This window comes from Homo sapiens, chromosome 5 (assembly GCF_000001405.40).
Source record: "Homo sapiens chromosome 5, GRCh38.p14 Primary Assembly".
Classification (NCBI taxonomy): domain Eukaryota; kingdom Metazoa; phylum Chordata; class Mammalia; order Primates; family Hominidae; genus Homo; species Homo sapiens.
Window position 1 is genome coordinate 56,966,617 of NC_000005.10, and position 11,159 is coordinate 56,977,775.

General features: G+C 40.3%; 1 pseudogene, besides 1 other annotated feature; it reads right to left on the minus strand.

The window, feature by feature from the left end:
- Window positions 1,596-1,765: an enhancer, noted in NCBI's record as "experimental_86248 CRE fragment used in MPRA reporter constructs". NCBI's record gives its function as "activates a minimal promoter by MPRAs in K562 erythroleukemia cells, with activity observed for the non-introgressed 5:56264124 variant allele {active_cell/tissue: K562}" and the evidence as "EXISTENCE:reporter gene assay evidence [ECO:0000049][PMID:34662402]".
- Window positions 8,868-9,660, minus strand: LOC100130001 (small nuclear ribonucleoprotein polypeptide B2 pseudogene; annotated as a pseudogene).

Consider the following 11,159-nt stretch of genomic DNA (forward strand, 5'->3'; position numbering starts at 1 on the left):
GGGTTTTTCAAAATTATTTTGGGATAATAATCAAGCAAAAATATTTGAAGACCACTGTTCTAGGAGACTGAGAGGACTAAGTCTTCCTAGCCTTATGTCCTTGCTTTCCGGCAGCCATGGTTTAAAACTTGTCTCTCCAGTCCTCTATCCTCAGGGCTTCCTCTTCCCAGGATGGCTCACTTTCCTCCCAGTCATTTCACCAAAGCCTCAGAAGTCAGACTCTGTGCTGGAGATTGAATGTTTGTATTCCCCCAAAATTTGTATTTGGAAACTTAATCCCCTAGGTGATAGATAGTATTAGGAGGCAAAGTTGTTAGGAGATGACTAGATCCTAAGGATAGATCCCTCATGAATGGGATTTGTGCCCTTAGAAAAGAGACCCCTGGCCAGGCATGGTGGCTCATGACTGAAATCCCAGCAGTTTGGGAGGCCAAGGTAGGAGGATTGTTTGAGGCCAGGAGTTCGAGACCAGCCTGGTCAACACAGCAAGAGCCCATCTCTATTATAAAGAAAAGAAAAGAGACCGGAGAGAACTCCCTTGTCCCTTCTACCATTTGAGGACACAGGGAGAAGATGGCCATCTATGAACCAGGAAAAGGGCCCTCACCAAACACTGGATCTGCCAGTGGCTTGATCTTGGACTTCCTAGACTCTAGAACTATAAGAAATAAATGTTTGTTTTTAAAGCTACCCAATCCATGGTCTTTTTGCTATAGTCGCCCAAACAAGGACACTCTGTGATCAATATGCCCCTTACATCTTGGACTTCTTCCCTGGGCATTTTCCTCCACCGCCTGGCTTAACTGAAATCTGCCTCTTCTCCTTGATGCCCTGGGACACCATCCTTTCAGACTGCACAAGCCTCAGGGTCAGGAGGAAGGGGCTGTGTCTTGCTCCTTTGATACTAAGTCAGGATGCTTCATCTGCTAAGAATCCTAGCATTCTCTCATCCTGCCTCGATTCCTGATCACTATCACTTAATGACTGCCTGGCCAGTGCCCTTCATCAATCAGAACCTTAATACCTGGATTACACACAGCCTTCTCTACTCTAAGCTCTGTTATTCAGTTAAAGTAATACTTAAAGAAAAAAATATTTTAACTTTCATGAAGTTCAATGTATCAGTGTTTTTTCTTTTAAGGTTTCTTTTTGTAGCCTATGTATAATAATTTTTTCTTAATCCAATTTTTCAAAGATTTTTATCCTACATCTTTGTGATGGTTAATTTTAGGTGTCAAGTTGACTGGATTAAGGGATGCCCAGATAGCTAGTAAGGCATTATTTCTGGGTAACTCTGTGAGGGTGTTTCTGGAAGAGATTGTCATTTGAATCAGTGGACTGAACAAGGAAGATCACCCTCACCCAATTTGAGGATGGGCAGGCATTATTCAATTGGTTGAGGGCAAATATAGAACAAAAAGGCAGAGGAAAAAATGAATTCACTCCCTCTTCTGAAGCTAAGATATCCATCTGCTTCTGCTCTTGGACATCAGAACTCCAGATTCTCTGACTTTTGGACTTAGTGACTTGTATCAAGCAGCCCCCAGGTTCTCAGGCCTTTGGCCTGAAACCAAGAGTTACACCATTGGTTCCCCAGGTTCTAAAGCCTTTAGACAGGGACTAAGCCACCTGCTTCCCTGGTTCTCCAGCTTGCAGATGGTCTATCATGGGACTTCTCAGTCTCTGTAATCATGTGAGCCCATTCTCATAATAAATTGCTTCTTATATCTGTATCTATATCTCTCCTATTGGTTCTGTTTCTCTGAAGAACCCTGGCTAATACAATCTTTTTTAAGATATGCTATAGTTTTGGCCGGGGATGTTGGCTCACACCTGTAGTCCTAGCACATTGAGAGGCCGAGGCAGGAGGATTGCTTGAACCCAGGAATTTGAGATCAGCCTAGGTAACATAGCGAGATTCCCATCTCTACAATACATACATAAATAAAATAAAGTTAAATTTAAAAAGATATGTTACAGTTTTAACTTTACCATTTAGGTCTATGATCTATTTTGAATTATTAATAATTTTTATATATAGTATTAGTTAAGGGTCAAGTTCCATTTTTTCCATATAAACATACAGTTGTTCCAGCACCATTTGTTGAAAAACTTTCTCCATTAACTCGATGCCTTTGTCAAAAATAATATATAAATTTTATTATCATATTTTTAATTTTATATTATATACATATATTTGGGGAATCCTTATTTTGTTTTATGACTCTATATGTCTGTCCATAAAACAATTCCACACTGTCTTGATGACTGTAGATTTACAATAAACCTTGAGATCAAGTGGCAAAAACCCTTCAACTTTGTTCTTTTTCAAAATTATTTTGGCTTTTTAACATCTTCATTATTTCCATATGAATTTTAGGTGAATCAGCTCATCAGTTTCTATAAAATGTTTGTGGGTATTTTGATTTAGACTGTGCTGAATCTATAGAGCCTTCTTTGTTCTGATCTTCCTGGGGAAACACATTCCATCTTTCACATTGTGGTAGTTTTGAAATACATGCATAATTTCTCTAATATTCCTCCCTCAAAAAGTGGAGCCTAATTCCCCTCTTCTTGAATGCGGGCTGCAGTTAGTGGCTTGCTTCTAACGAATATACTCTAGTGGAAATGATGGTATATGATCTCCAAAGACTAGATGATAAAAGGCACTGTGGCTTCCTCCTTGCTTTTTCTTTCTTTCGGATCACTTATTCTGGGGGAAGCTGTGTGCCAAGCCATGAGGACACTCGAGAAACCTTATGAAAAGATCTATATGGTAAGGACAAGAGGCTTCCTACAAATAACAATTAAGGAACTGAGGCCTTCCTCCAACAGCTATGTGAATGAGCAATCTCGGAAGTAAATCTTCCAGCCCCACTCATGCCTTCAGATGACTGTGGCCCTAGCTGACATTTTGATTGCAACCTCATGAGAGAACTTCAGTGAGACTCACCCAGTTAAGTGGCTCTCAAATTCCTAATCCCCAGAAATTGTGAGATGATGAGTACTTATTGTTTAAGCTGCTAAATTTTGGGGTAATTTGTTACATAGCAATTGATAACCAATGCAACTATTAAGTATCATATCTTCTGTAGAAGCCCTTGTCATATTGAGAACACTCCCTTCTATTACTAGTTTGCTGACAGTATTCATCATTAATGGGTGCTAAATTTTGTCAAGTAACTCTTCTAAATATATTGTGATGATTATATGCTTTTTAACCTGTATTCTGGTCATATAGTGAATTATAATTATTGATTTTCAACATTAAACCAAGCTTTCATTCCTGGGGTAAACTTTATCCTTGTGGTATATGGATGCAATGAGATAATATTGAGTAATAAAAAGGAAAAAAAACTGATACATGCAACAACATGGATGAACTTCAAAAACGTCTGGTTCCATTTATATTAAATTCTTAAAATGACAAAACTAATCTAGTAACAAAAGTATATTAGTGGCTTCATGGGGCCAGAAAATAGGTAGGAATTGACAGCAAAAGGTAGAAGAAAAGGGTAATATATATGTTTTATATCTTGATTATGATAGTAGTTACACAAATGCATAACTCATTAATCAGTACCCTTAAAACAGGGGCACTTAAATGTATATGAATTACACTTAACAAGAGAATTCCTGTTTTGAGGCCAGGCGTGATGGCTCATGCCTGTAATTCCAACACTTTGGGAGGCCAAGTCGGGTGGATCACTTGAGGTTAGGAGTTTGAGACCAGCCTGGCCAACATAGTGAAACCCCATCTCTACTAAAAATACAAAAATTAGCCAGGCGTAGTAGTGGGTGCCTGTAATCCCAGCTACTTGGGAGGCTGAGGCCGGAGAATCGCTTGGGCCTGGGAAGTGGAGGTTGCAGTGAGCCAAGATCATGCCACTGCACTCCAGCCTGGGCGACAGAAAAAGACTCCATCTAAAAAAAAAAAAAAAAAAAAGAAAGAATTTATGTTTTGAGGCCAAATGCGGTAGCTCATGCCTGTAATCCCAGCACTTTGGGAGGCCGAGGCGGGTGGATCACTTGAGGGTAGGCATTCGAGACCAGCATGGTCAACATAGCAACACCCTATTTCTACTAAAAATCCAAAAAAAAAAAAAAAACAGGCATGGTGGCACACACCTGTAATCCCAACTACTCGGGAGGCTGAGGCAGGAGAATTACTTGAACCCAGGAGGCAGAGGTTGCAGTGAACTGCGATCATGCCACTGCACTCCAGCCTGGGCAACAGAGTGAGACCCTGTCTAAAAATAAAAAAATAAAAATAAAAAGAATTTATGCTTTGAAAGTTTATACTTGAAGTCTGTAAAACTAAATATTGAAAATTAGTCTTCTAGTAATGTCCGTTGAAATAAAAATGCTAAAACAATAGGTCTAGGGTATCTTTAAATAGTTATCTGAGTTCCAACTAAAGCTAGCAATTTGGTTAATGACCACAGTAAGGGGGAAAACACTGGCCTAGTTAATGGATTTAATCTATTCCCAAGTTTAAATGATTGTTAAGTAAAGGCTCTGTCATGCATAGAATCATTACTTAGGAAAACATCCTCACTGAGCCTGCTTTCCTGGGGTGAAATTCAAATACACTTGAGAAATCCAAACTCAAGTCAATTGTCCAAAGGAATAAACCTCTACTTAAATGATCCCAGCCTCCCAGCCTCAAAATGGAGGGTTAAAAAGAAACACAATCCATAACTTTTCTGGTATTTTTTTTTCCTCTGCGATGACAGCATTTCTCCTTTAGCCATGATAATCTTCAAATCTGTCTCACCCTGAACTAGGACCCTTCAGCCTGAAACACAGAAATGGTACAACTGCCAAGAGTTGTTACTAAATAAACAGCCATAAAAATGATGTCGTTGATAACAGAAACAATTAACATTATCAACTGTAAATTACTGTCAGTAAAAACAGAGATTTATTCATTATTACCATGCCCAATGCTGACCCTTCTTTCTCTTATTTTTGCATTTGCAGAAAACGAAAAGATTTAAGGAAATGAGAGCCTACCTCTAAATTGGTAATTGCTGTGGTTGTGCTGTCATTCTTGTCACTTTCAGGTTGGAATTCCAGAATTGCTGCTGTCCCTAGGTCAGACTCTCCTGGATTCCTCAGCTTGTCATTCTAGCAACTAGAGCAGAAGAAAAAGAAAAGGGCTCTATTAATCAGAATTCTCCATAAAAATAGAACCAAGAGGAGATGATAGATGATAGATAGATAGATAGATAGATAGATAGATAGATAGATAGATAATAGAGATAAAGATGAGATTTATTATGGGAATTGGCTTATGCAATTAGGGAGGTCAAAAAGTCCCATGATCTGCTGTCTGGGAGCTGGAGATACAGAAAAGCCAGTGATGCAACTCAGTCCAAGTACAAAGACCTGAGAACCAGGAGCTACAATGTTTGCAGGCAGTAGAAGATAGATGTTCCAGCTGCAGAAGAGAGAGATAATTCACCCTTTCTCTGCCTTTTTGTTCCATTTGGCCCTCAGTGGGTTGGATGATGGCTGCCCACGTTGGAAAGGGTGAACCTTTACTCAGCCTACAGACCCAAATGCCAATCTCTTCTGGAAACTCCTTATAGATACACCCAAAAATAATGTTTTACGTCCTAACTGTGCACCCCTTCTGTCAAGTTGATATATAAAATTAACTACCACAAGGGCTAAGGTAGCTGTCAGCTACATTAAGCTTTCCTCTTTCTCTATTCTTTTATTTTGGGGGCAGAATCTGAGAACCCCATTATCTGCAACCCCTATTTTCTAGTGGAGGAAGCCAAGGGCTAATTCTGCCAGTGTAGTGAAAGATGCCTTTCACAGGGAATCCTGAAGAGCACTGAAGCCAAGGAAGATGCCAAGTGCGTGCAGGTCAGCTAAGGTCAGCGAGTTCAGGAGGAGCTGGGAGCCAATGGCAAAAACCAAAGGATCCTAATCAAAAGGACAGATGATAACAAGAGTAGGTGAAGATATGAAATAATTGGAACCCTCATGCACTGCTGGTGGGAATGCAAAATGATCCAGCTGCTTTGGAAAACAGTCTGATAGTTTCTCAAAAGGTTAAAAGTAGAGTTAGTATACAACCCGGCAATTCCACTCCTTGTTATACACCCAAGATAAATGAAAACATATGTCTACACAAAAACATATACACAAATTTCATAGCAGCATTATTCATAGTCACCAAAAAGTGGTAACAACCCAAATGTCCATCAACTAAAGAATGGATGAAGAAAGTATGGACCTGGTAGCTCACACCTGTAAATCCCAGCACTTTGGGAAGGAGGATTGCTTGAATCCAGGAGTTTGTGACCAGCCTTGGCAATACAGTGAGACCCGTTTCTTCAAAAAAAATTTAAAAATTAGCTAAGAGTGGTGGCACACACCTGTAGTCCCAGCTACTAAAGAGGCTGAGGTGGGAGGATTGCTTGAGCCTGGGAGGTTGAGAGGTTGAGGCTACAGTGAGCCACGGTTACATCACTACACTCCAGCCTGGGTAACAGTGAGACCTTTTCTTTAAAAAAGAGAAAAAGATACATCGTTATAATGGAATATTCAACCCTAAAAAGGATACATGTTACAAGATAGATAAATCTCAAAAACATTAGGCTACATGAAAGAAGCCTGTCACAAAGAACCACTTATTGTATGATTCCATTTCTATGAAATGTCCAGAATAGGCAAATCTATAGAGACAAAAAGTAGATTAGTGATTGCCTGGAACTGGGGGGTGGGGGAGGCATGGAGGGACTAGGGGTTGATGGATAAGGAGTACAATGTTTCTTTTGAAGGTGATGAAAATATTATGAAATAGTGGCTACCCAATTATAGGAAAAGCTATTGAATTGCACACTTTAAATGTGTGAATTGTATGGCATGTGAATTATATTTCAATAAAGCCATTACGAAAACAAACAATAGAACTAGGGGACCGGGGCAGGAATGGAGAACCCAGACGTTAGCTGGAAGGCAGAAGTTGACAGAGAGAGCAGGCAGGCAGGCAGCTTGAGGCGGTTCCTAGGCTAGCTGTTTTGTGCTGCTGCTGTGCTGGGTCTGCGCTGCACAAAGTGAGGCACTGATAGGGCCAGCTGAATTTAAAGGGGCAGGGATATTGTAGACATCTACCGTGCAAAGAGCTGCTGTTTTTACAACAGAAGACTGCTTTTATAGTTGCTGCTATTAAAGAATTCCAGAGAGGCTGCTCCTGTGTCATGACTATGGGGGAAGCATGAGGTGAGCACTATGTTGATTTGTTTATTTAGACCCTCAGAGTCAAGAGATTGAGTTACTCAGGCTCAGTTCAAGTCTTTTTTTTTTGTATATTCCTTTATTTAGTCCTGTTTACCTCCATATTCCACCTTAGCAACCATTCTAATCGGCATAGTGGGAATCTTTTGGTTTACATGTGTAGGCTTGAATATTGAGTGTTAACCATTTTGCATGCATGTATATGTATCTCACATTTAGGAAATATTATTATATTGGATATCCCATTCTGTTTCTTCCTTTTTCACTCTATACTTTGTTTTAAAGACCCATCTGTGCTGTTAGGTATACATCTACTTCTTTGCTTCTAACTGCTCACTGGTGGTGTCTATTGCACATTACCTATCCACAATCCCTGTGATTGGCATACACGTTGCCTTCCTGTCCCTGTACTCCGAATAACATGTGGAACCCATGAGACTATGCCTCACAGACCTCCAATTGCAGGAGTGTAATTGACCTAAGTCTTAGCTCTGAGCTCTGAAATCTATCTCTGGGTTTCACCTGAGGCCTTGCTTCCTGTGGGCTGCTCCTAGCCAGTGACTGAGCAGAGCAGGTGACTAAGACAGGCTCATTCCTGGGAGACAGGGGACTCCTCCCATGGCTGATTAGGGCTTGAGGACTTCCTGGTGGATTTGGAGAACCTTCCACCAGGTTCTTAGGATGCTTCCACCAACCTTCCTTCCCTCTCCTTCACTTGGGGTCAGACTTCACTGTGGTATGAGTTCTCCCATCCATCCCTATTTTCTCTCACAGGTATTCCGTCTAAGAAAATCTTTGTACGTTTAATTGGTTTAATCTGCATCTTGGCATCTATTTCTTAGACGACCCATGCTAACCCTAGTGCTATACCAAACATCTTTGTACATATCCCCTGAGGAGGATGTATAACGGTTTCTGGGGGATGTACACCTAGGAGGGAAATTGCTGGGTCATAGGGTGGGGCCAGGTTGCCCCTGGAGTGGCTGCTCCCACCTGGATTCTCACCAGCAGTGCATGGGGTTCCCACGTCTTTGCATCTGTGCCTATTCATGGCATTATGCTGCTAATTTATGCCCACCTAAGAGGCATAGAGTGCCTCTTAGCTGTTTCAAATTCCTTTTCTTTGATTACTAAAATTATTGATCACTTCTTATACATATTAGTCTTTAGGGATTCCTTTTCTGTCAAAGGAATTGCCTACTTTGCCCACTTTAGTCATTTTTATGTTTGCATTCCTTTCTCTTTCTTTTCAGTTTTAGGAATTCTTTGTATATTCTACATACAAGAGCCACAGTATCTACCACATGGCCAAACTGAGAAAACGGGGTGTGGGGGAATCTCTTCAATTCTTCTTTTTCAATTTTGTATGATCCCTTGTTGTTTTTAGACATTGCAGGCATCTCCCAATTTGCCATCTAATAACTTTGTTCATGATGGCTTTGAACAGAAATTCTTAGTTTTAGCGTAATTGACAGCATCATTGCGGCGGGGGAGCGGGTTGTTTGTGCATCACATTGTGGTCCAGAGCTTGAACCATGGCCAGGCACACCCAGACTTCATTCCTGGCTCACCGTGTCCTTGATGTTACCTAGTTCAGTCACTTCCCTGTTTTTTTTCACTTTGACTTTCCCCATCCCTAACTATTAGAATGACCTGACCAAATGTTACTAAAACAAACACTATAAATAATATTGAGTCCTTTAATGATGACTATCCCAAGTATTACTTCTTGACACAGGTGATTTTCATGGCGTGGGACAAAGTGACCTTAAATCCTTGTAAAGCTGCCCTGAGAGCTCCAGCCTACTTACCATTTTCAAATTCAACCAGAGCAATACCATGCTTCCCAGGTACAAAACGTACTTTCTTGAAACCAGGGAACCGATTAAATAGCACAGATAACATCATCTCACGAGTCTCTGCTGGTAAATTAACTTAAAAATAAAACAGAATTCGGAGGGTAGTAAGAACCTGAGGATTTGGGTATCAGCTGAATTCAGTGTTTCCTGACCAGGCTTTCTGTTTGCGGTTGTTGCTATCTGTTCCACAGTTTGGGCTTTTTTCTTTTCTTTTGTCAGAAAAAGTGTCACACATCTTAGAAATTATATCAGAATCTGTTTTTGCCTACTGGATTTGCATTGGTTTATCATACAATGGAAATCCTTGTAACTGTCTCAAGGCATTTGTGGATGAGCCCAGTGTCCCGCACCCATCTTCATGGTCTTTAGAGCCACAATACTTACCACATGGCCAAACTGAGAAAACAGAGCGTGTGGGAATCTCTTCAATCCTTCTTCTTTAATTTTGTCATTCATATTGTTGATATAAATTAAGCAATTTGGTCTGATATCCATGTTTTGGATTCAATTGTTCAAATAGCCTGAGGCCTGCACCATCTCCAGTAAGCCCTCAGTAAGTTCCCTCTCTTTCAACTTTTCATCTCAAAAACAAGGACAATATGAGAGAATCCTACTCATCTAAAGCAACTGGGAAGACAGGTAGTTGGCTGATAAAAATAATCATTAAATACCCTACATATGTTAAACATTTTCTTTCAACTTAAAACATACAAAAATGTTCACTTATTTATACATGTTTATGTAGGGCTTAGGTCTTTTTTTTGAGAATGATCCGCTTACTGTACTTCACAATTTGTCTCTTACTTAATTTAGATTAATAGTACATTGGTGACAATTTTCAGTTTGGGATTCTTTATTTTTTAATTTTCTATTGTTTTAGAGATGAAGTTGCTCAGGCTGGTTTTAAACTCCCAGGCTCAAGCGATCCTCCTGCTTCTGCCTCCTGAGTAGCTGGGACTACTACAATAGGCATGCACCACCATGCCTGTCCTGTTTGGTATTCATTAAAGTGTAACAAAGCTGCACAGGATGGTGCATGCCCGTAGTTCCGGTTACTCAGGAGGCTGAGGTGGGAGGACTGCTTGAGCTCAGGAGGTTGAGGCTGCAGTAAGCTATGATCATGTCACTGCACTCCAGCCTGGGTGACAGAGTGAGACCCCATCTCTAAAAATAATGATAAAGTGTAGCAAGACCTTACATCTTCTAGATTTTTATAATTTTTTCTGCCTTTTACAGTTGTTCTTATTCAGATTTAATTGAACAGAAAGTTTTTTTAATTATATCTTTCCAAAGCATTGCACTTAATTTTCTTAGGAACAACTCTTTACGCTTATGTTTAATCAGTTTATGTACTCTTAAATTGTACAACTATACAAGTACAATAGGCTCAAAGGGTTTGGTAACAAACACAATTTTTTCTCTTAAGCATATGACTCAACATACTCAACATGTGTTATGTTGAGCAGAAGCACCCAGGCAAACCAGAGCACTTGGCTGCAAATGATCCACACGCCCTTGGAGTTGGTCGCTAGGGTTGTGGAGGAAATGGAGAGCCTTGGAGAATCTGGTGAAATGTTTAAGTAGGGCCTGCTAAGAGTTTCCATCATCAACCTTTTGGCTGGTTGTGTCAAACTCTGTGCCTGGCACTTAGTAAATGCTTAGTAATTGTTAATCATTATTAACACTAGACCAGTGATTCCTAACATTGATGTCATCTGTCCTTTCCTGTGCCCCCACACCTTGGGGACATTTGGCAATGCCTGGAGACATTTTTGGTTGTCACAACTGGAGAGGTGGAAGTAGTATCTAGTGGGTAGAGGCCTATCCTAAACATCTAACAGTATTCAGGACAGTCCCCTCATCAGAATGTCACTAGTGCCCAGGTTGAAAACCCTGCACTAATCTAAGTGCTTCTGAACATGAACCTTATATGTGCCTATTCATAATTGCATCTCTTGCACCTAATGCATCTCATGGTTCATAATAAAACCTTAATGTCTGTGTTGATGCATGCATGCACACTGACTAAATGAGTAGAAGGCCTCT